Here is a 22,262-nt window from a genome sequence, read left to right on the forward strand (position 1 = left end):
GGGATCGGGGCTTCCCCAGGTCCACATAGACTCCTGGAAGCAGGGCTTAGGAACACTGTGACAGGCAGCACTGCTGTGGCTGTGGACGGGGAGAGGGCCGTGAGCCCCTTCTGCTCAATCTCCTCATCCTGGCCCAGAAGCAGGTAAGGAAGTTCCGGAGGCAGAGAGCAATGGGGGACCTTCTGCTGAAATTGGCACTGCAGCACACACCTCGATGGGGTAGGCATGCATATTACAACACAATACCATTACACTCTGCTGAGCAGGGCACCCATGAGAAAGGCTGGCTACAAAGTACACAGACAGGGCCCGGAGGACATGTTTCCGCACCCTGCTGGGCAACACCTGCCAAGAAGCTACATCCAGAATCTCTGATCCAACAGTCCTCTACCAAGAATTCAGTATGGATATACCCCATGTGTGCAATATGACTGGAACGAGGCTATTCAATAGGTAAACTCCAAAGACACCCAGAAGTCCACCAGTGTGTGTGCGTCTATGTGCATGGGTACACACAGATACAGCATAGAACGTTTTCTATACAAATTATTGCACATTCCAGAGGATGGAATACTATGCAACTGTTAAAAAGAATAAAGCTGCAATTGTATGAAAGGGCGCTGTTCAGTAAAAAGTAAGGTTCCCAAAAATGTGAGTAGTATGTTTCCGTCTGTGCAGGCACATGGTGTGTGACCGTGTGTGTGCGTGTGTGTGTGTGTGTGGGTGTGCACACAGGCTCATCAGAAGGATGATTCAAGAGATCACAATTTAATCAAGAACCTGCTGGCAGCAATGCCTATAGAGAGAATTTGATCTGCAAAAGGAGTGTGCTTCATTTTTCATGATTTTGATTCTTTAGAACTATTCGAATTCCTTCCTTAATCATGTGGTTTTCTAACTAAAATATTTTAAATCTGATATCAAAAGTAAAATACAGTAATTGTAGAAAATTTGAAAAATTCAAGAAAGGCAAGAGAACACATTGCTGACGATCTCTAAAAAGGTTACACAGGTTATAACGCTGGTTAAAGTAAGATCCCAGCTCGGGTGTCTCCTGTACTAACTTTACTAAGAGGAAGATTTCATCAAAATGGAAATTTTTAAGAACAGCAGACAGACATGACATACAGTTCTGGTCTTTCTGGCATTTTGGTGAATTCCTCATTCTAAGAAACTCTGACTCATTCACTCAACAGTCACTACTGGAGGGTGTGGGGTGAAGGTGAGAGTCAGATATAGACTGTAGACCCCCAGCCCCTGCTTTCTGGCTTGGGGAGGGCAGGCCACAGCAACCGCACAGGACGGTTGGGGGGCCCTGCTGGCTCTGTAACATGGGAAGTGGGACAGGCAGGCTGGGAGCCATGCAAGAGGAGACCTGAAGTCCAAGAGAGAGGCTGGAGCCTACAGGCTGGTAGAGGAAGAGGGCCCGCGTGGGTCACGTCCAGGTCCTGTGTGTCCCTGCCCCGAGCACCATGCGTGCGCATCCCCGTGCCGTTTATTACGTGGTGCCCTCAGCAGCCTGTCACGGCTGTGCAATATTCCATAATTAAATATCATAATGTGGGACATTCCGATCCTTTCCAACTCTCCACTTACAATTCATTTTTCTTTAACCACCAGCAGTACCCGGCCAAGAATCTTTTCTGTCTGGAATGTTCACAGTGATGTTACAGAGGTCTAGGCACCACACAGAGGGCACTGGGAGATGGGCACGGGGGAGATTCCATGGTTCCATCATGTCTGTCTGCTGTTCTTGAAAATCTCCATTTTGATGAAATCTCTTAATAAAGTTAGTACAGAAGACACAAGTGCTGGGATCTTTAGTAGTCGTTACAACCTGTATAACCATTTTAGAGACTGTCAGCAATGTGTCAGCAATGTGTTCTTCTCTTGCCTTTCTTAAACAGAGGCTCAGGGCTTCTACTGATCAGGCTGACAGGTTTGCTTCCTTTAACTGGGAAATAATCACACATAACTTCCATGATTTATTTTCATTTGACTCTCTTCTAAAACTTTCAGTTAGTTGAGCTGAAGTCATTTTTGCAAAGTAATACTATATTTGCTATAAAATACAAGTCACCTAGCTCAAACTTTTTTTTTTTTTTTTTAAATTGAGATGGAGTTTCACTCTTGTTGCCCAGGCTGGAGTGCAATGGCGTGATCTCGGCTCACTGCAATCTCCACCTTCCGGGTTCAAGTGATTCTCCTGCCTCAGCCTCCCAAGTAGTTGGGATTACAGGCATGTGCCACCATGCCTGGCTAATTTTGTATTTTTCGTACACACAGGGTTTCTCCATGTTGGTCAGGCTGGTCTCAAACTCCCAACCTCGGTGATCCGTCCACCTCGGCCTCTCAAAGTGCTGGGATTATAGGCATGAGCCACTGTGTCCGGCCAGCTCAAACATTTTTTATGCTTCTTTCAAGTCTATTAGAAACCTTAATTGCTTCTTAGTTTCTCCCCCAACTATGGAGGAAGCATATTGTGATAGCTGCAGTGCCGGCTGTGAGGCCAGCTTGCCTGGTTCAGATTCCCATGCTGCCACATCCCAGCTGTGTGACCCAGAACAGGCCTCTGCCCCTTCCTATCCCTCAGATACTTCCTTAGCACCTCCCCTCCCTCTGCTACTCCCTCAGTACTTCACCTCCCCCGGCTATTACCTCAGCACCTCCCCTCCCTCAGCTACTCCCTCAGTGCCTCCCCTCCCTCCACTAATCCCTCAGCACCTCCCCTCCCTCAGCTACTCCCTCAGCACCTCCACTCCCTCAGCACCTCCCCTCCCTCAGCTATTCCCTCAGCACCTCCTCTCCCTCCACTACTCCCTCAGTACCTCCCTTCCCTCAGCTACTCCCTCAGCACCTCCACTCCCTCAGCACCTCCACCCCCTCAGCTACTTCCTCAGCACCTCCCCTCCCTCCCTACTCCCTCAGTACCTCTCCTCCCTCAGCTACTCCCTCAGCACCTCCCCTTTCTCAGCTACTCCCTCAGTACTTCACCTTCCCCAGCTACTCCCTCAGCAACTCCCCTCCCTCCACTACTCCCTCAGCACCTCCTCCTCCCCACAGCTACTTCCCTGGGAGAGGGTAAGACACAGCCCTACCACCAGAGATGAGACTGCACAAATGAGGACTGTAAGGCATGGACGTTAAACACAATGTTACAAACAACCAACAAAATGGCACTATCCCCACAATGGCGGCCCACACCAAGGTGCGGAAAGGTCCAATCAGAATCCCACAGAAACGAGCAGTGCAGGGGCAAATAGGTTTTCCTAGATCAACGTCAATCTCCATTAAACCATGATGGTTTACTCTGTGATTTATTCCTAAATTGAAGTTTCTTTCTAAAGCCCACGACCACAACATTAGCTTTTACTACTTACCTCAGCTCAATGAGTCTGAAATGATTTAAATCCAAGATGCTTCCGTCCCGACTCCAAATTCCTTCGAGCTCTTTTTTTTCAGAACCTTGCACCCTTAATTCCTGAGTGTCTCCTTTCTCTGACCAGGACCCTTCTCGAACCCTACTAATTGCCTTCCTCACTGTGTCCTGCCTGGCTTTGGTCTCCTGGGCACCCTCTTCCTGCCCTCCCCCACCTCTGCCCAATGTCCCCCACTTCCCTCACACCCACGGTTCATACCACCATCCCTCCTGTGAGGCCTCCACCTGGCTCCCGCTACCTGTAAGGGAATGACACCACATTCTAAGAGCTCCACCTTCTTACGGCCCCTGTGCCCCCGGCCTTCAGTCCCCCTACACACAGAGGGGACTTACAAGGCATGCTTATTTCTTACAAGGCAGCTCGCATCACACTATTCTCTTGCTCCAAAGCCTCCTGTTTCTCTCCAGGGCTTGCAGAGGCAGGTCTCAGCCCCCAATCTAGTGTCCCCAAAGGAAGCCCTACAACTTGCTAGGTGTGCATTTTCCCCTCTTTCTGTGGAACACCAAGAATACACCACCTATCTAGACCCAGCCCCCCAGATATTCTGATTTAGCAGCTCCCTAGTGAGGCCAGGGTCTGTCTGGTTTTAGAGCAGCCCATGTAACTGGCAGCCAGGACCGAGAACTGGCCTGCATCCACCAGATTTCCTGCCTTGCCCAGTGTTACCCAGGCCTTGCCACCTCCCCTAGGTATGTCCTGAGTCCATCCTTGACACCCACCCACTGAAATCCTGGCTGTCCACTGTGGCTCAGCTCGAAGGCCAGGGCAACCTCAGACCTGCCCTCTGGGAACAGATGCCTCCCCTCAGCTGGTCTTCATTCACGGGGTCTCCTGGGGGAAAATGTAAGCAGGAAGAATAACTAACACCCGCCATAAGGCAAGGGTGAGGAAGTGACTGTTCTACTGGGTTCTGCGAGGGTCAGGCTGTGAGTCACCTGGAAGCAGCACGTGGCCCTGACATCTGGGAAGGGGCTGCTCACACCTCCCATGTTCATAGCTCCCTGGCAGGCTCCTCACTAACCCTCGTATCTGACATCTGACTGAATCCCAGTGTTCAAGAGGCCTGGGCAAGGACAGCCTACAAGCCCGCTGCTTTGACATCAGGGGCAGGAGTCCTGAAAGCCTGACCCTGTGGCCCCACTGGCTGTACATCCACCCCCTCCCCCAGTGTGCCCCACTGGAGACAGGTTTTACAGCACTGCTGGGAAGAGGAAAAACAGGCTCAGAAAAATGCAACAACCGTCTAGAGCCACTGGGAGAGGTGAGATGCCCTCCCGGGTCCTGCAGTGACCCCAGGACCATGACTGGCACAGTGCTCTCCAGCTGTGCTGAGGCTCCACCTGCCCTGAGCCAACAGCTTCCTCCTCCAGGGACACCAGGGCAGAGACAGGCCCTTCAGAAACAATGGCTCCTTCTCTTTGCCAACTGCCAGCAGTGAAGGCATCACAGAATCTGCCAGAACCATCCAGAACCCTGAACTGGTTCAGGACTACAGGCAGCCTGGGGAGATGCCCTGCACTCAGAGGCATCCCTAGTCCCCACCAAGTGTCCGCAGGGGGAGCGCATGCAGTTTCTCCAGGGGACTGGACCTCCTCCAGGCCGGGATCCTCCTCCCCTGCTGCCCTCAGACTCAGCCCAGCTGCAAAGGCGCCAGAGGCCTGCTCGTTCTGCCACGGTGCAGGCACGGCATGAGGGGATAGGCCCAGGAGCCTCAGGACAGGCCCCAGTCCAAGTGGGAATTTCTTTTTTAAGTCTCAAAACCACAAAATGCCACTTTCCTTGCTTTCATCTTTAGTGATTCTTTAAATATATACACTACAATTACAAAGTTAGACCACCATGACCACAGCTCGTAACCAGAATAGAGTCAACAGGGAACCTAGTCAACAGGAGGCTCTCCCTCACTATCCGGGCCTCCTCCCCAGGACATGGCTTTTGCCAGCCTTAGCAACAGCGTGGCAAACCCACCAGAGAACCACAAGCTCCAGCCAGAGCTCTGCGAAGGCCCCAGCTTTGCCTCACTCCAGGCGGGAAACAAAAGGATGTTCGCCATTTCATCATCTGGGGCTGTCAGTTCCCGTCTCAGTACTGACCTTAAATGCTGTCTTACCGTCGTGCGCAGACACCAGGTGCACGCAGCCTCGACCTGATCTACCAGCCCCCAAAGCCCCTCAGAGGCCACAAGAACCTCCCTCAACCTCAGTATCAGAGGAAGCAACTTCAACTAAGCTCATAATTATTTTAAGACTCTCCTACATCTTAACCATATTCAAACCAAACCAACTCACTTCCCATCAACAGTAGACCAAGTGGTCACTGTGGGCAGGTGACAAGCATCACAGAAGTGCTAAAAATAGACAATGTGACAACCACAACACCCGGCTACGATGGTAAGGAGCAAACACTGCAGGCCACACCTGTGCCCTAGGTCTGTCCCCAGCGAGTTCCCCCTTTGCCACTAAGACAATTACTGCCCATATGGATGGCCAGAATTTCAATCAATTTCTATTTCCAAATCACCAAATGACCCTCTAGCTGAATGTCACAAGCCCAGTATTGGGTCAGAGGTAGATACACTCTACTCTAATGAATTATAGTCAATCCCCACGTTCAACTCACTAAATCCATCCTCCCTTGCAGTGCAAGGGAAATGATATTTCTTCTCCTCTCTTCCAGATGCTTCCAGCCCAAGTAAGGCAGTCCCTCAATTCCCTTCCTGGGGAGTCAGAAGAGGGGGGCAGCCTAAAATGATACAGTCAGTCACTCAGGTCCATCCAACCCCAAATAGCCGTAGATGCCAGAAGAGGGTCAAGTGCATATGGACTAAGGAGGCGGTGTGACCCTGGTGAGATGCCTGTATCAGAAAACCACAGCCCCTGCCTCCCTGAGACAGCCGGGGCCTGGGGAGTAACCCCTGCCGTCCTCTCAGTGTGAAAGGAGCCCAGGTAGGAATTCCCCACTGAAGGAGTCAAGCAAACCCCCAATATTTCAGGATTCACTCTGCAGCACCCAAATGGGAACAGATCTCACTCACGTTTCCCTGCACTGCTAAAAGGAACCTGGTCCTATTAACCTGGAACCCCCTCTCCACCCCCCGGTCAGCAGCACCTGCAAGTGGCATTTAGTGGGGCTGACTTCAAAGTGCCCAAGCCTACGGGGCTACGGCCCTGCAAAGTCCCATCCCGGTGTCTGTCCTTCCAGCAAGCAGCCAGCTCTACAGCATGTGGGGGTTCTCATTTTCCGAGCAGTGTGTCACCTTCCAGATGATTCAGAATGTGTGCGACGTGGCGGGTCACACGTGGGGAGGAGCTGGTGAGTCACTGTCACTCATTGCCCCCCACACAGTCACCTTCCAGGTCTGAGAGCTCCAGGAGGGGGGCTACCTGGCCATTGTTCTGTCTCTCGTAGGGCCCAGGAAGGAGGTGTGTTTCCCCTAGGGATGCACTCACCACTAGGGTGACCACCTGTGGAGGGCCCGCCTGGCCCTGAGGGGTGGACTCTGCCCTGTAGGCGTGGGTGGCTTAGGGCTGACCTGAGACGCTGGCTCCAACACCCAGGCCCTTCTCACCTGCGTGTGTCACTGAGGGCCTGCTGCTGTCCGTCTGACCACCGCTGACCTGTCATGGAGGGATACGGCCCCCACACTGAACAATTCCCTGGGCAGGCTCTTCCCAACCATCTCAGTGGTCACAAGTTGAGGACCACCACTGGCCACCAGCTCCAGGCGGCCCCCGCCATGGCCCATGCAGCTTCCTTCTGGGCCTCACATTCGATGCTGCCCAGCACTGCCCAAACACAGTCCCTGGCCCTGCAGGGGAACCTGAACTGGAAGGACGAGGGCAAGACCCATATGACCTGCCAAGAGCCCAGTGCCATGCCCCAGCCACCAGAGAGGGTGCCAGGCGGCAGCAGAGGGGAGGCACACATCCTCCATTGCAGCCAGCGTGGATCTCAGGGCTACAAATAGCCAGTCACAGGAACTCAGAACCACGAGGAACCGGCCCCTTCATCACAGGCAGGAGGAGAATGAGGCACAGGCATGGAGCCTGCTCAAGGTCACGGAGCCTGCTCAAGGTCATGCAGCGCAGGCCAGCTCCCAGCCACTCTGCACACGGCCTGGCCCACTGTCTCCAAGACTGCTTTCTCCTGCACCAGGGCAATGGCCCCCGGCCCCACCTACAGGACCATGGTGCACACGGCCAACCCACCTCCAGGGGCAGGGTGACAGACATCCCCCAGAAGAGCAAAAAACCAGATCCCAGTATGGGCTGGCCATAGGGAAATACGCAAGAAAGCAGCCACTAGGTCCCCATCTCCACCTTGTCAGCAGCCAGCGCAAAGCTTCTCTAGGGCTCTGCCCCCTGGGTCCCTCAGGGCCCCTGGACCCTGCCAACCACACCACTGCAGGCTCCGCATGACTGCTCCAGAGGTCCAGAAGACAGACAGGATGGACCTAGGTCCCTGTGGGGGGGGTCTCCCCTTCCACGCTCACTCCTGGCCTTGGGTCACAGGCCCACTAAGCGGTTCGTCCAAGAGTGCGAAGAGTCAAGCACAGCCCCCAGCTCCTTCCCCAAATGCAGGTTACCCACGGGGCAGCCTGGGCATGGGCACTGGACAGAAGTGGCATGTAGCCTGGCTCTCCTAACCTCCCTGCCCAGTCAGCCCTCCCAGACCCACCACCAGGAGTTGTACCAGGCCGGCGGCCACCTCGGCTGACTCTGGATGCCAAGAAGCCTCTAATCCTAGCTTCACCCAAAGCAGACGACATCTAGGAGAGCATCGACATCCCCATCAGGGTGAGCGCCTTCTTGGGGCCAGGAGAGGGGGCTGTGAAGACAGTAATTCAGGTCACCCAGCAACACTGTCACCATCCCTCTTTTGCAGCTAAGAAAGCAAGGCTTGGAAACTTCCGGAAGTCATATCAGTGTTGGGGGGTAGGGGGCAGTGTCTGACACTACAGGCATGGAAAGCAAAGTTCCCCGCCCTGCATCAGAGACAAACTCAGGTGGGCCAAAGCAAGTTCCTGAGCACACCTGGGCTGAGCTGTGCTCATTCAAATCGGTTTCTTAACAGAATCTCAAGTTCATCTCAAGCTTGGAGCCTGGTGAGCACTTCATGAAGAGCAGGTTCCTGGGTCCCAGCCGGGTGACAGTGGCCGAGGGACGTACCCGACCTCCAGAAGCCCGGGAAGCATGCTGTTCCAGAGAAGTGCACGCTGCTAACAGCCCATTCCAGAGCGCATGGTGCAATAATTTTTTGCTAGCTTTAAAAAGCAGCACAAGAAAGAAATTACGCGGTTTGCAAACTGAAGTCTACATGGTGGATGGAGTGGCCAGTTACGTGCTCAGAAGAATGCAGCTGTGGGTTTCTGTTTGGGGTCAAGCTTTGCCAAATAGTAGCACTCTGAAAATGCACATAACAAGAAAACCTCATTAAAAACTCTGTAACCCTAAAACCTGTATCAAAGCCTCCAAAGCTGCTGCTTAACCCTGACGGGCAGCTCTGTGGGTGGGAGCGGTCACAAGCCTGGCTGAGGAGGACGGGCCTCAGGCTGGGATGGCAAGTCATGCCCAAAGCATCTGCAAATGACAGAAAGTTCTGGAAATATTTCACACAGGGAAGGGAATTACTGGACGGTCAGAACATACACCACAAAATTTCAGAACTAGGAGGAAGTTTTCAGCAATACTCTCCCACTTGGGGCCAGAAACTCCAAGCATCTGTCCCTGCTCCCCAGCAGCCAAAGAGCAAACCCTCCAGACAGCTCCCCAACCACATACACACTGTGTCAAGGGGCCTGGACCCCACTTACTGGGTGAGTTAGATGCCCTCCAAGCTTCAGAGGGAGACAACTGACTGTGACTGCCTCTCTAGGGGTGGCTATTGTCCAGACGCAAAACCCACCCAGGGCAGGAGCCTGCAGAGGGGCAGCAGCCAGGCTCGGAGGACAAACAGCCAACATCTTCCCAGGCAGGGAAGAGGACCAGCCACAGTTACTGGGGAGGGGGAAACTGGCCTCTGATGTCTACAGAGTCTAACAGGTGTATTTCCAAGGCCTCAGCAACCCCGCAAGCTCAGAGAGATGCCCTGCCCAGGGATGTTTATCTCCATGGTGCCTTATCAGTAAAAATCTGTCATCCAAATATGCACCATCAGATGGGCCGAGCGTGGTGGCCCAAGCCTGTAATCCCAGCACTTTGGGAGGCCAAGGCGGGCAGATCACCTGAGGTCAGGAGTTCAAGATCAGGATGGCCTACATGGCAAAACCCCATCTCTACTAAAAATACAAAAATTAGCTGGGTGTGGTGGCTCGCGCCTGTAATCCCAGCTACTCAAGAGGCTGAGGCAGGAGAATCGCTTGAACCCGGGAGGCGGAGGCTGCAGTGAGCCAAGATCATGCCACTGCATTCCAGCCTGGGCGACAGAGCGAGACTCCATCTTGAGGGAAAAATACCAAAAAACAAATAGGCACCCATCAGAAACAGGTTAAATTAACAATAATATTATAGCATGCTATGCCGGCAGTACAATCCACACAAGTCGATGTTTATTGACAAATACAGATAAACATTCTATTAAATGCAAAGAGGAGAAGATAAAACAGCACTTAAGTGCAAGCTTACTCATGTAAAAAACCCAGTCATAAAAGGTCACACCCAGGGAATGGCCTGACTGGCACGTTCCAAGCTCACTCCCAGGCTGACTCCTAACCCTGGCGGCTCCTGCTCCTGCTCCTGCGGGTGAGCCACCCGGGGCACACCCAGGGCTGGCTAGAACACCACCTGCAAATGCAGGTAGAGCAACCTCCAGGAGGAGGGACACCAAAATGCCAGAACTAATTCTGGGAGGTGGAATTTTAGGGGCACTTTCAATGTCTTCTTTGAATTTTCCTGTATCTTCCAAATTTTTTTACTGGAGGCATTTTTCAGTATTGTTCTCCCAAACAAGAGCAGTTTCCCTAGATTCTCTTTTGTTTTTTGGAGACAGGGTCTCACCCTGTCACTAAGGCTGCAATGCAACGGTGCAATCATAGCTCACTGCAGCCTTGAGCTCCTGGGCTCAAGTGATCCTCCCACCTCAGCCTCCTGAGTAGCTAGGACTACAGGCGTGAGCCATCATGCTCAGCTATCTTTTTATTTTTTTGTAGAGATGGGGTCTTGCTATGTTGCCCAGGCTGGCTTTGAATTCCTAGGCTCAAGTGATCCTCCCACCTTGGCCTCCCAAAGCCCTGTGATTACAGGTGTGAGCCACTGTACCCAGCAAGATTCTCTCTTTTGATGGTTTCACCTCAGCAAAAAAGAAGGTGGCCCTAAAGCCCCCAGAGCACATTCCCGCCTCCTCAAGGACACGTTCCCAGCCCCTCCCTTGGCCAGACTGGGATCCATACAGTCAAGGCCCCAATACGAGCTCTGGTTCATCTATGCTATCCTCATCTCTCTGTGTCCATACCTCAGTGTACCTTCCCTTCTGTGCTGCTCTGCCATGACAAGCCCTGACCAGTCCATCTGTTCCCCCAGGAGAGGCATATTTACATGGCACAGGAGCCTGGTGGCCCAGCTGCACCCTCTGGGCCCACCCTTACCAGCTATGCAGCCCTGGAATGGCCACTCAACCCTCTGCCCCTTGGCTTCCATCCATAAGACAGAGTTGGCCACAAAAGGTACTTGGATTATTTATAACACTGCTTGGCACAATAAATGTTAACCACTAATATAAGTAGTATTATATAAGTGTACTACCACAGAATGGATTGGGTCATTTTTACTAGATAGTGGAACTGTAACCCTGACTAAGCCTGGAGATCTGGGGACAGGACCCTGGGGAGTTGGGAGCTGAGATCTGAAAATTCAGGATGATCAGGGCGGCCACAGTAAGGTCCTAAAACTGCCTGAGGCTAGTGTGAGGGGCGCCCTCCAGCACTCTGTCGTAAGGGCAGCAATAAAACCACTGGCTGCATGGCTCTTCCTCCTCTGAGTGCCCTGTCTCTATCTCTGGTCACCAGTGCAGTGGGGCACACCCCGTGGGGATTTGCAGGCCCTCAATGATAAAAACAGATTTGGTGCTGCAGGCAAATGATACTTAATACCCATATGAAAATGAGGTTAAAAAGCAAAAACAACCTCCCAACCGCCTCACACCAATCAGGGTGGCCACTACCAAAAAAAAAGCAAAAAACAAACAAACAAAAATGGAATACAAGTGTTGGTGAGGATGTGGAGAAGCTGGAACTCTTGCACTTTGCTGTGGGAATGCAATACAGTGTAGCCACTGTGGGAATCATGACGGTCCCTTAAAACTTTAGAATAACCATGTGTTCCTGAGATTCCACTCTGGGTATGTACACAAAGAAGTCTCAAAGAGACGTGTACACTCATATTCACGACAGCACTATTCACAAGGGCCAGAAATCTCTTCTGCAGCCAGTCATGTCCTCAAAGTGACCCCACCTTTATAAGGACAACCTGAAGGGGACCTCTGTTACCATAGTGAGAACACAAGAGCGTCTTCGGGTGTGCACAATGGTTGGGAACGTGGCAGAACTGGCTCTAGGACTTGCCAAGTGCTGCTGGTGCATCCTGGGCACAGGGCAAAAGCCAGCTCTTCACAGGGACTTCTCACCTCACTGTCTATAGCAGGCTGGAGCACGGATGTATGCATGCCCCTGCTATAGAGGCATGGATGTAGCAGTGACCCCCTGAGGCTGCCACGAGTCCCCCATGAGTGCAACTGCAGAGACAGCAGCCGGCAGCAGACGGACTGAGGGTGGGGCCACCAGGGGACTTGCTCACTTCCAGGGGGGCCAGGCGGTCGGTGGGCCACTGCAGCATGGTCAGCACTGACGGAGTCCTTGATAGTGGGGAGGGGTCTCCAATCGGCAGGGAGGGCTCTCCAATCAGCAGAGAGGGGCTCCCATGACCTCTGTCCAACCAGCAGCCACTGCAGACTGTAAAGACAGCTGGTGCCACATGCTACGGCCTTCTGAGCCCACGGTATGTGTCCTAGAGAGGGACTGTGCACAGGCACAGTAGGTCAGATGCATCCAACTCTTGGCATTTCGCTTAACCCCCTCTGGGAGGGACCTCCCACCCCTGCATGTAGCCGAGCATGGGCTTCTGATAGAAGCAATCAGGTTCTGCCCAAGTACAGGGTGGATACCACCCAGGGCAGAAGTCCAGAGGGTCACAGGGTCCGGGGGCAACAGGGAGACACAAAGCCCTCTGCTGTCCCATTACACACAAGAGCATGGCCCTAGGTGCAGATTGTCCCGGGGCTCAGACAGTATCTCTCAAAGCCTCTGGATGCTGGTACCAGCATACCCCAGTAGCTCCGCACTAAGTGTGGGTCACACTGGGCAGCTCCAGCCAGAGCGCCACCACTCCCCTCTGGACTGGGTGACATGGATGCTATGATGAGCTGCAGAAGCCCCCATGCAGACGTGGGCAGGAATCTGTGCATGACTCACACATAGCACTTGGCATGCACGGACTGCCCCGCTCTGGGGAGAGATGCTGTGACACATGGAGCACACCAGGAATGCCAAGTGACGTGGACCACGCATACCACATTGTCTCCAGCTGTTCATGTTTTAAGACCAGCCAGACCTCAGCCCCGGAGCAGCAGTAATGTGCGACAAGGTCTACCCAGTCACCCGCTGCCAGCCAGGTGAGGCCCATCCACCTGTCTCCACGATGCATGCTGCCCCCATCCAGCACGCGTGTAGGTAGAGGAGGGAGGGGTCTCGGTCTAGGAGCCAGCCAGGACCCTAGAAACCTCTAGAAGGGAAGACAGAACAATGGCGTTGGGCGCCTTCTCAATCTCCACTGAGACCTTTGTCAAAACGGTATGCAGGCCCTCAAATCTATTGCTTCTTTGGGTTTTCACTTTCTTTCATGAAGCTTCATGTATGTAAAAATGTTAGTCTGTCTTTTCTCCTGTTACTGTCTTTCGTCAGTTTAATTCGCAGGCCCTAGAAACAGCATCTAAGAGAGTAGAGTGAAAGTTTTTCTTCCCTCCACCACCAGCGTAGCACCTTCTCTCCTCTCTGCCCTCCTGCCTCTCTCATAAGAAAACTCTGTGATTACATTTAGGGATCACCCTGGAAAATCCAGGAGAATTTTCCTATCTCAAGGTTCTTAAGTGAATCCTATCTGCAAAATCTCTTTACCATGTAAGGAAACATTCACAGGTTCCAGGGATGAGGGATGCCCCAAGGTACTAGGGCATCATTCATCCTCCTGCAGACCCCTGGCATGTGCAGCCATGGACCTTTGAGTGAAGTCTCCAGGGCCCTGTCAGGGAATGTAGAGGGGAGGCAGGGCAGCTGGGCCAGGCCCTGTCTAAAGGGGCCACTGCACCTCCCAGCCTTCTACAACATGGCCTAGTGTGGGCAATAGTTCTTGATTTTTTTCTCCTGAAAGAAAAAAACCTGAATTTTTAGGTGAAGCCTTTGAATGCTGCAACATAATTAATCCATATATTTTTAATACTGGGAAGTCCCAACCAAACACATCTGAGGGCTGAGTTGCTGGTCTAAGAGCTCAGAGTCTACCTGGGCATGGGGGAAGGGGCCGGCCAAGGCGGGGAGTGCACGGGGGCTGCACATCCCCCAGGGCATGTGGAGGACAGAAATCCCCACTAAGAGAGTCATGATAAAGGCAGTCATAAGGTAATATTAATTTTAAGAATGCTGGTTGAGTAAACATGCAAATGATCATTAACAGGACCTGGAAAATAACCAGAAAACCAGTACATTCCATGGGAATCTTGACTTGATGAGCCATTCAGATGCAAATTTTACCCCAATTCTGGAAGGATTACAAGCATCCCCATTCACAGCCCCCATTCCTATGTAAATTCTAGTCCGAGGACTGGCCCTCCAGTTCCCAGCCTTCTGGCTGCTTTGCCCTGTTTCTTTCCTTTAGGCTCCTAAGCAAGAGCTGTGGAGTTTCTGGTTTGTTTCTGGCCCCTCCTCCTTTCCCCAACTCACAGAGATGGCAGACTCCCAGGGCTCTCTGACTTTCACACACCTGGACCATACTAGACACAGTGCCGGGCATGTACTTTGATTTACAGAACCCAGGGACAAACAAGGCCACCCAGGTCTCTGTGTCAGCAAAGATCCTGAACATCAGCCACACCCACGGCTTTATGCAGAGCAAGTCCTACAGGCTCCACCTACGCCCCACCCGGCCCCGACCAGCCTGCTGCCTGCTCCTGGACAACCTGGTCTGGGTGCACCCCTCCCAGGGCCACGCCCACAGGTTGCATGTCCGGCCTTTCCTTACAAAGGCTGTGCAAAACAGAGAAACTTCGAGATAAATGAAACTTAAATAAAGGAAGGGCATGAACACTGCCCAGTGTCCATATCTGCTGTGCCGCATCCCAATGCATGCTGAATTGGCTGCCCAGTAAGAGAAAGCAGGGATAGCCTAGGCCAAGGAAGCGCCCCCGCTGCCCCCCACCCCCAAATCACAGCCTCAGCCTTGGCTGCTCTCTGGCCAGCTACAGAATGACGGACATCTCAGACAACATCCTGCACTTCTGTTGTCTTCAAAGCACAGAAGTGCAAAGCTCTGGAGTGAAGCCTGTAAGGTCCACTCAAGTGTGTTTTTCCTCTGGTTGTCCAGAAGGGCAGCTGGTCATTTGGTCCCCTCACATTAGAAGGAAGCCCACTTACTCAGCTCATTCTCACTCAACCCCAGTGAGGGGTGAGAAATGGGAACACAAGACCATTTACCAAATGACAAAGAAAACCCAAGCCCCTGACCCTGCCCAGCTGGCCTCACCTTTCCAGGGGCCATGCTCCTGACCCCACGCTGGTCAGCGTGTCCTCAGCCACCAGGGAGGATGGATACTCAGGACACCATCTGGCCCCGCCGCCCCATCCTCACGCAGGGCCTCTGCTCGCCTGGGACGTCTGTCCTGACTGCAGGGGTTTCAAGGGCTCTGTTATTAGTTGGGGCTCAGGCCAGGACTGCTCCAGCCACAACAAGGCACCCTTCAGCGCAGGGACAAGGTCCCGTGGTGAGCCTTCTCCGCAGGCTGTGGAACAACCCTGTCCCATTCTCTTCCTTTTAAACAGCGGGGCTGTTCAGCGATGTGGGCCTGATTGTTTTCCTGTGTGGGCTAATTCAGGGGCTCGTGGGGCAGGGCCCAGTCCCAAGGCTGAGGAAGGAGGAGAAAGGCTGCCTTAGAGGAGGGTGTGGGGGGTTGCGGCCCAGCACCCAAGCCATGCACACCATTGTCCACCCATGGAGCAGCAGGTCGCCTGGCGAGGGCAAGCTCCTGGGTGCCTGAGGACCCTGCAGGCCTGGCCACTACTTCAGTCATCTGGGGGCTCCATGGCAGGATGGGTGAGCTGCCTAAGGCCACGGGACAATGGGGCTAGAGGTGAAGTCCCGAGGAAGCAGATGTAGCCCTGGGCAAGTCACTCTGGCCCTCTGAGCTCTCATGTCCAGCCTTGGACTCAGGAATCACGAAGACAGCTCAGTCAAGAGGTAGCAATGAGGGCAAACTTGGGAGGTGAGCATGCACAGAGCTGCTGGACAGTGCTGCAGCGAGATGGCCTGCTCCCAGCTGGGCAGACGACCCTAAAACAGGAAGCACGTGGCCTCTTTTGTTAGGGGCTGCAGGGCCCTGGCTGCTCTGCGGGCCAGCATGCCCACCCCCATGAGTGGCCTGATCCTAGTGGGCATTGCACAGTGCAATGAAGTGTGGCTCGTGCAGCTCTGGCAGTTTTTATTTTTCTGCAGGCCAGGTTTTCCTCCCACAGCGGCAGGCACCTGCCCTCAGCCTGTAAGGAAGCGCGATGCAGTGAGTATTGCCCAATCTTGGTCGCCCACACTTGGTCTTGAATAAGCAAACAACCACAGGACAAGCAGCAGGGCAGGTGTGAAGCTCGCCCTGAGTCTCTGACACTGCAGGTGTGGCCTCCAGATCCCAGCCTCTGCACCCACCCCCACCCAGCACCAACCCTAGCAGGCGGCAGCGACAGGCACTCCCACTGCTGCGGTGCGCCCTGAGAGGGGAGGGCACAGGCCTGGCGCATGACTGGGCTCAGTGACACGGGCACCTGCCCATGTGTGCCAGCGGCAAGGGGCACAGGTTCCCGGTGCTGCCTCTGGTCAAGGGGTCCCAGGGAGGGAGGTCTGGCTGATGTGTCCAGGTGCTAAAGGAAGGTAGCAACGTGACTTGAGCAGGCACAGGTGACAGCCACACAAATGAGGTCTCTGAGCCTCGGAGATGAACAAGACAGGGACACTGTATAAAAGATGTGGTGCTCTGCCCTGGTCCGCAGCTCGGGACATAGCCAGGACAGGGACATGCTTGAACCCAGATACCAAGTCTAAAATTCCTTAAATTGAGCAACTCAGTCCCAAGGATGAGCCATCCAACCTGCTAACATGCACAGTGCCATCTGGCACCAGGCTCTGCGCCCTTCTCGCTGGAAGATTTCTAATAACCTACAGGGGTAGGGATAGAAGGGCAGGGCCATCTCAGCAAGATGCAGAGAGGAACCAGAGGACACTTTACCCAGTAGGGCACCCAGATGCTGTGGAGGGAGCAGCCTCCCTGGGGGCTGAGTGTGGAAGAGGGAAGAGGGAAGCAACAAAGGTGCACTGTAGAGAATACTCAAGCCAAGCGCCCTGCTTCTCTCCTGGGAGCCTTTTGTGGCCATGAAGGCAAGTTTTAAGTTTGGAGATGAGAAACTGGAGACCCAGGAAGGGTGAAGAGTGAAGGGCTGGGGGCCTCAGCTGGTGCTGGACTTGTGCTCATGTGGATGCCACACTCAGGCTGGCCTGGAGAGAGCTTTCAGGGTGGAGCACCTCCCATGGCAGCTCGTGATGGCTGCATCACAGAATGCAACAAGAAGGTGAGCAGGACGACATTCACCGCGGGAGCCTGGTGACTGCAACTCCTGCTCACGACAGAGCTGGGGTCATGCAATTAGATAAAATATTAATCCAGTACATCACGGGCTGAAAGCTATGCCAGTCAAACCCACATTATGAAGCACTTTATTCTGTCGTTCCTGAGACAAACAACATTTCTAGTGTTAGGGATATTTGAGGCAAAAAATCGAAGTATTCTTTATGTTCTTTGACTAGAATCAAATACAATGTATGTTTTTTCTTTTCTTTTTTTTTTAAGACGGAGTCTCGCTCTGTCGCCCAGGCTGGAATGCAGTGGCGCAATCTCGGCTCACTGCAAGCTCTGCCTCCCAGGTTCACGCCATTCTCCTGCCTCAGTCTCCTGAGTAGCTGGGACTACAGGCGCATACCATCACGCCCGGCTAATTTTTTGTATTTTTAGTAGAGACGGGGTTTCACCGTGTTAGCCAGGATGGTCTCAGTCTCCTGACCTCGTGATCCACCCGCCTCGGCCTCCCAAAGTGCTGGTATTATAGGTGTGAGCCACCGCACCGGGCCTTTTTTTTTTTTTTTTTTTTTTTTTTTTTTTTTTTAACATGGAGTCTCGCTCTATCGCCCAGGCTGGAATGCAATGGCTTGATCTCCGCTCACTGCAACCTCTGCCTCCCGGATTCCAGCGATCCTCCTGCCTCCGCCTCCTGAGTAGCTGGGATTACAGGCACCCACCACTACGCCCGGCTAATTTTTGTATTTTTATTAGAGACATGTTTCCACCATGTTGGCCAGGCTGGTCTCAAACTCCTAACCTCATGATCCGCCCACCTTGGCTTCCCAAAGTGCTGGGATTACAGGCATGAGCCACCGTACCCGGCACAATGTATGTATTTTAAGAACTTCTATAAACTCTACAGTATGTTTCACAATTTTCAGACATGTTTATAGATTCAGAATATATGAGTTACCTGGCTTAACGAATAGGGTTTCTTAGAATCCTCTAAGATCTAGTGGCTGAGTGGAGACCACTCTGGCCTGTAAACTGTCCAGGAAAGTAATGAGCCCTGAAGGTAATTGTCTTAAAGCAATGGTAATATTAAGAGAAACACTCAAACTGGAAAGAAGCATTTCTTCTATGATTAAAGATTTCACAAAAAATTAAGGTTTTTAATTATGCAAAGAAGCTAATGGTTTCAAACACCTGCATTCACCACCCACACGAACAATGTGGTGCAGCATTTATTCCATTTCCATCTAAAAGGTGTCAGCTCAGCCGGCGGCTGACTGGTCTAAAGATCATCGCAGCTGGCCGGACCCCAGAGTGCACTGACAGGTCAATCTGATTTACAAAAAAAGCAAGAGTAAGTGTCTATTTTTAAAAGCCTATTTACAGGTTATTTTCTCTTTACAAAAAAAGTCAGTGATGCCCCCACTTCACGAATTTTAGCTGAATGGAAACCGGCCGACCCACGATCAAGCTCACCGCATCTTAGTGTCAATTTAAGCATTCACTTACTTTAGCCCACAAACATGCCATATAGTCATTCTACATTGGCACACTGCCCCTCAATCACCCTCACCACAGCCCAAAAGTGGACACACGTGCTGGGTCAGGAGCCGTGTCCAGGACACATGGAGACCTGCCTGCTCTTAGTCCCACCAAGGGCAGTCCACAGAGAATGGAGCCACGATAAGAGGCCTGGTGTCCTCCCTGTGAGCCTGACCCTCACCCTGGGAGCCACGCAGGCTGTGGCATCTCCATCCACACCCACCCGGGACGAGCCCTGGAGTGGTGCTGGCTCCTCTGCCCCACAGACCCAGTTGAGGCTCCCTCCCCGCCCCTGCCAGGAAGCAGTGACCACAACGCCTTCCCTCCCATTCCTCTCCAGCCCCTGTGCCTTCTCCCACCCACGCTTTCACCCACCCCCATGGTATAGCTACATGAGTATCTCGAAACTCCAAATCTGGTCTTGACATGCCTCTGCCAAAAAGCCTTCAACAGCTCTTTGCTGCCTTTTGCTTAAAATCCCAACCCTTTACCCTCACAATGCTGTCTGATCCACCTCCCACCCGCACCCATCACCCTGGCCCCTGAGCCCTACCCTCCGCTTGCCCTCCACACTCAGCCCCCAAGGAGGCTGCACCCTCCACAGCAGCAGGGCCCTTCTGGGTAAAGCGTCCCCTGGTCTCCTGGAAAAAAAGGAGGCTGCTTCCTCCTCTGAGCTCCCCGGCACCTCGTGCAAGACTTATTCATGTTCCTCTGCAAACATTTCCTAACTACTTGCTACGTGCCACATGCCGTGCTAAGTGCCAGCAGAGCAAAGTGGGGCTGACTCCACCCTACGGAACCCTTCCAGTGGGCAAGACATCAATGTCCCACAGCATGTGCTTGCGTGTGTGTGATGACACACTGTGACAAGTCCTGAGTAGGAACACACAGGGTGCCAAGAGAACTACAGGAGACAAGCTGGCCTGGTGAGGAGGCTAAGTTGGACCTGAAGGGTGAGGTGTCAGAAATGCACAAGTACACTTTAACTGGACTACTGCAGCAAATTTCCACCCAAGAGGGCAAAACAGCATGCAACTTGACTGATCAGAGCTCCTGAAAGTTGTTTGACCTGCTCACCCAGGGAGTCCTTCTAAGAACAACAAGCCACTCTCCTGGGCAAGCTGCTCCCTCAGCAAACCACCATCAGGCTGGCTTCACGCCCTCTGCTGCGTCCACTGATCTTAAAGTCTTATTACACATTGTAAACATGTCCCAGTCCAAATCAGACCAGCCACCCACATTGAAAGATCTGCCTTAAACCAAACTCCCAGACCTTACGAATACCAACCCTTGGCCTCCGCTTCCACACACGCGCAGGACTCGGCCGGGCGGCACTGTTCCTCCCAGCAGCGGGCAATTTCCACAGCTTCGCGTGGTGGACGGGCCATCAGGGAGGACTCTTCAGGAATTTGGCACCAACAACATTAGCTTTCCAGGCAGACAGAACAGCAGGCAAGACAGAGCCCAATGTGTCTGGGATCAGAAGGAAAGGGGATGTGGCCGAGGTGATGATGGCAGAGGCAACCCTGAGCTCTGGCTGGAGATGTCGGTACCGGCCAGGCCCCCATTCCCACATCATGGGCCACCCCCACATCACTGTGTCAGGATCAGAATGCCCCAGACCATGGGAAGGAAGTGAGGGCAGCCTGGAAGCAGCAGGCAGGGAGGGGACCAATTCCCCACCACCCCATGGCTCCTCCTCAGGGCTCCTGGGACCTGCCTGGAGGCTGTGGCTGCTTTGTCCCTGGGTGTCCTCAGTACCCTCTTTGTCATTTCAGCCCCAATACCTGTCTAACCACTCTGCGTCCAGCTTTCCTGCCTGGGCCCTAACCCCCCTCCCACACTCCCATCCCAGCCCACACTGTTAAACTTCAGCTTCTGATCTAAGTGAAAGGGAAGTCCAGCAACTCCAGGCCCCACCGTGTGGACAGAGGGCTAGAGGCTGGCAAGAGGGGCTCATGGCCACGCCCATGTTTGACAGTCCCTCACCAGGCACCCATCCCCATGGCTGTGTTTACACATTTCTCTTCCCCATTGGACTGTAAGGCTCTGTTATTTAACGTGCCTGAAATCTTGCACAGTTCATGGATGTGTAGACCAGCAATGGCCAGGCTGGTGAGTTCAGCATGTTCCTGATCACCCCTCCCCATCATCAGCACCCAGTGAGCTGGGGCTGTTTCCTTCCCTTTTCCCCTGGCCCAGGACACATCTTCAGGCCAGAGACATGGTTTGCTGCGCCGTACGGCCCAGGTCAAGGTCACTGGCCAAAGCACTGGGAGGGGCTCAGTGGGTCGGCTCTGGGCACCACGGCTGCCACGAGGGTGGTAGGGGCTGCTGGAGCCCCCCACTCCAGCCCCACTGGCCCGCCTGTCAGAAGAGGAGGGAGCTACCTGCTCTTTCCAAGCTTGCCAGGCTCCAAGAGTCCTCTGTTAAACATGGCAGCTTTGCAGGAAGAATACGGACCTCATTAGTTAAAATGCAGTGGAATAGAAAAAATTGTAAGAAAACCATGCAGCAGCAGCAACATGTCAAAAGAGTGAGATGGTCAGCAGCAAGGAGGGGAGGAGGGGTGGGCGCCATCTGAAACCATGCATAAAAATAAACCATCTGCCTGGCCGGGGTCCTCTTCCTCTACTTGCTAGAAACACAGAGTTCAAGGTAAAAATGGAAAAGACAATGAGTTTCACTTCCACAGGCCCCAACAGCTAGCAAAGAATCAGACCCACTCACCCTGAGCTGTCAGGATACATGCAAGGGGAGGGGAGGGTTCCTGGGGTTCATAACTGCATCCGTCCCAGAGAGGGATCAGCACCAGACAGTGTCTGGCATGGCTGCAGCCCTCCCCATCCTTCTCACCATTTCCCAGCGAGGAAACACCAGACCCGGGCAGATGTGAGTCAATGCTGGGGACCCTGGTTCACGCATGTGCCGGTGTCGTCTGCAAACCTGGGCCCCGGGCCTGGGCTGGGACAAGCCTGTCATCACACAGCCTGTGAGACTTTTAAGGGCCTTCACTGGGGCTAGAGCAACCTCGGATGCCCACCAGGACCGTGCTCAGCAGCAGGAGGGCCCCCTGCACCCCTACAGCATGCCTGCACAGCCTCTGCCTGACCTGGGACTGAAGCCTCCCAGGAGGAAGGCGGCTCTTCTCCCCAGGAGGTGACTCACAGTCCAGAGCCCAGCCCCATCAGGTCCCCTAGGGACTTCTCCACAGCTTCAAGAGTGAGACTTCCCTGTCAGTGGCGGGATTATGACCACCCACACTACCCCCCTGGACAGAGGCCGGGTCGCGAGGTGCTCTGGAGAAGAACGGATGCCAGTGCTCAACTGGACACACACTCCAGCCACAAGCCATATGTGGGCTGAACAAGGAGCTTAAACAGGGCCACCAGGATGCCCATGGGCCCA

At 53.4% G+C, this 22,262-nt stretch overlaps 1 protein-coding gene across 56 annotated transcripts in view, besides 17 other annotated features; it reads right to left on the reverse strand.

Annotated features, from left to right (window-relative positions):
* The window catches only part of SEMA4D (semaphorin 4D), a 137,327-nt gene that overhangs the window by 60,309 nt on the left and 54,756 nt on the right, over positions 1–22,262 (reverse strand). For 8 of the 56 annotated variants that reach the window (XM_047422628.1, XM_047422622.1, XM_047422626.1 and 5 more), the window contains exon 1: positions 15,227–15,368. The exons of 45 other annotated variants lie outside the window; for them this stretch is intronic. The gene's annotated coding sequence lies outside the window, so the exon portion shown is untranslated. Of the gene's footprint in view, positions 1–3,380; positions 6,666–15,226; positions 15,369–20,142; positions 21,975–22,262 lie in introns of those variants that run through there. 3 more of the 56 variants (XM_047422610.1, XM_047422611.1, XM_047422618.1) reach the window with 3 other exon arrangements.
* Positions 4,079–4,138: an enhancer, noted in NCBI's record as "active region_28537". NCBI's record gives its function as "activates an Ori minimal core promoter by ATAC-STARR-seq in GM12878 lymphoblastoid cells {active_cell/tissue: GM12878}" and the evidence as "EXISTENCE:reporter gene assay evidence [ECO:0000049][PMID:35858748]".
* Positions 4,303–5,162: an enhancer, noted in NCBI's record as "H3K27ac-H3K4me1 hESC enhancer chr9:92040313-92041172 (GRCh37/hg19 assembly coordinates)". NCBI's record gives its function as "activates a minimal SCP1, AML or CMV promoter by ChIP-STARR-seq in primed H9 embryonic stem cells {active_cell/tissue: H9 hESC(primed)}" and the evidence as "EXISTENCE:reporter gene assay evidence [ECO:0000049][PMID:30033119]".
* Positions 5,169–5,238: an enhancer, noted in NCBI's record as "active region_28538". NCBI's record gives its function as "activates an Ori minimal core promoter by ATAC-STARR-seq in GM12878 lymphoblastoid cells {active_cell/tissue: GM12878}" and the evidence as "EXISTENCE:reporter gene assay evidence [ECO:0000049][PMID:35858748]".
* Positions 5,349–5,418: an enhancer, noted in NCBI's record as "active region_28539". NCBI's record gives its function as "activates an Ori minimal core promoter by ATAC-STARR-seq in GM12878 lymphoblastoid cells {active_cell/tissue: GM12878}" and the evidence as "EXISTENCE:reporter gene assay evidence [ECO:0000049][PMID:35858748]".
* Positions 5,479–5,578: an enhancer, noted in NCBI's record as "active region_28540". NCBI's record gives its function as "activates an Ori minimal core promoter by ATAC-STARR-seq in GM12878 lymphoblastoid cells {active_cell/tissue: GM12878}" and the evidence as "EXISTENCE:reporter gene assay evidence [ECO:0000049][PMID:35858748]".
* Positions 5,619–5,748: an enhancer, noted in NCBI's record as "active region_28541". NCBI's record gives its function as "activates an Ori minimal core promoter by ATAC-STARR-seq in GM12878 lymphoblastoid cells {active_cell/tissue: GM12878}" and the evidence as "EXISTENCE:reporter gene assay evidence [ECO:0000049][PMID:35858748]".
* Positions 5,859–5,938: an enhancer, noted in NCBI's record as "active region_28542". NCBI's record gives its function as "activates an Ori minimal core promoter by ATAC-STARR-seq in GM12878 lymphoblastoid cells {active_cell/tissue: GM12878}" and the evidence as "EXISTENCE:reporter gene assay evidence [ECO:0000049][PMID:35858748]".
* Positions 6,609–6,678: an enhancer, noted in NCBI's record as "active region_28543". NCBI's record gives its function as "activates an Ori minimal core promoter by ATAC-STARR-seq in GM12878 lymphoblastoid cells {active_cell/tissue: GM12878}" and the evidence as "EXISTENCE:reporter gene assay evidence [ECO:0000049][PMID:35858748]".
* Positions 10,827–11,608: an enhancer, noted in NCBI's record as "H3K27ac hESC enhancer chr9:92046837-92047618 (GRCh37/hg19 assembly coordinates)". NCBI's record gives its function as "activates a minimal SCP1, AML or CMV promoter by ChIP-STARR-seq in primed H9 embryonic stem cells {active_cell/tissue: H9 hESC(primed)}" and the evidence as "EXISTENCE:reporter gene assay evidence [ECO:0000049][PMID:30033119]".
* Positions 13,173–13,954: an enhancer, noted in NCBI's record as "H3K27ac-H3K4me1 hESC enhancer chr9:92049183-92049964 (GRCh37/hg19 assembly coordinates)". NCBI's record gives its function as "activates a minimal SCP1, AML or CMV promoter by ChIP-STARR-seq in primed H9 embryonic stem cells {active_cell/tissue: H9 hESC(primed)}" and the evidence as "EXISTENCE:reporter gene assay evidence [ECO:0000049][PMID:30033119]".
* Positions 13,955–14,736: an enhancer, noted in NCBI's record as "OCT4-NANOG-H3K27ac-H3K4me1 hESC enhancer chr9:92049965-92050746 (GRCh37/hg19 assembly coordinates)". NCBI's record gives its function as "activates a minimal SCP1, AML or CMV promoter by ChIP-STARR-seq in primed H9 embryonic stem cells {active_cell/tissue: H9 hESC(primed)}" and the evidence as "EXISTENCE:reporter gene assay evidence [ECO:0000049][PMID:30033119]".
* Positions 14,737–15,518: an enhancer, noted in NCBI's record as "NANOG-H3K27ac-H3K4me1 hESC enhancer chr9:92050747-92051528 (GRCh37/hg19 assembly coordinates)". NCBI's record gives its function as "activates a minimal SCP1, AML or CMV promoter by ChIP-STARR-seq in naive H9 embryonic stem cells {active_cell/tissue: H9 hESC(naive)}" and the evidence as "EXISTENCE:reporter gene assay evidence [ECO:0000049][PMID:30033119]".
* Positions 15,519–16,300: an enhancer, noted in NCBI's record as "NANOG-H3K27ac-H3K4me1 hESC enhancer chr9:92051529-92052310 (GRCh37/hg19 assembly coordinates)". NCBI's record gives its function as "activates a minimal SCP1, AML or CMV promoter by ChIP-STARR-seq in naive H9 embryonic stem cells {active_cell/tissue: H9 hESC(naive)}" and the evidence as "EXISTENCE:reporter gene assay evidence [ECO:0000049][PMID:30033119]".
* Positions 18,719–19,296: an enhancer, noted in NCBI's record as "H3K27ac-H3K4me1 hESC enhancer chr9:92054729-92055306 (GRCh37/hg19 assembly coordinates)". NCBI's record gives its function as "activates a minimal SCP1, AML or CMV promoter by ChIP-STARR-seq in primed H9 embryonic stem cells {active_cell/tissue: H9 hESC(primed)}" and the evidence as "EXISTENCE:reporter gene assay evidence [ECO:0000049][PMID:30033119]".
* Positions 21,607–22,182: an enhancer, noted in NCBI's record as "H3K4me1 hESC enhancer chr9:92057617-92058192 (GRCh37/hg19 assembly coordinates)". NCBI's record gives its function as "activates a minimal SCP1, AML or CMV promoter by ChIP-STARR-seq in primed H9 embryonic stem cells {active_cell/tissue: H9 hESC(primed)}" and the evidence as "EXISTENCE:reporter gene assay evidence [ECO:0000049][PMID:30033119]".
* Positions 21,607–22,259: a biological region, named in NCBI's record as "H3K4me1 hESC enhancer GRCh37_chr9:92057617-92058192".
* Positions 22,040–22,259: an enhancer, noted in NCBI's record as "active region_28544". NCBI's record gives its function as "activates an Ori minimal core promoter by ATAC-STARR-seq in GM12878 lymphoblastoid cells {active_cell/tissue: GM12878}" and the evidence as "EXISTENCE:reporter gene assay evidence [ECO:0000049][PMID:35858748]".

Source organism: Homo sapiens, chromosome 9, assembly GCF_000001405.40.
Source record: "Homo sapiens chromosome 9, GRCh38.p14 Primary Assembly".
Classification (NCBI taxonomy): Eukaryota; Metazoa; Chordata; class Mammalia; order Primates; family Hominidae; genus Homo; species Homo sapiens.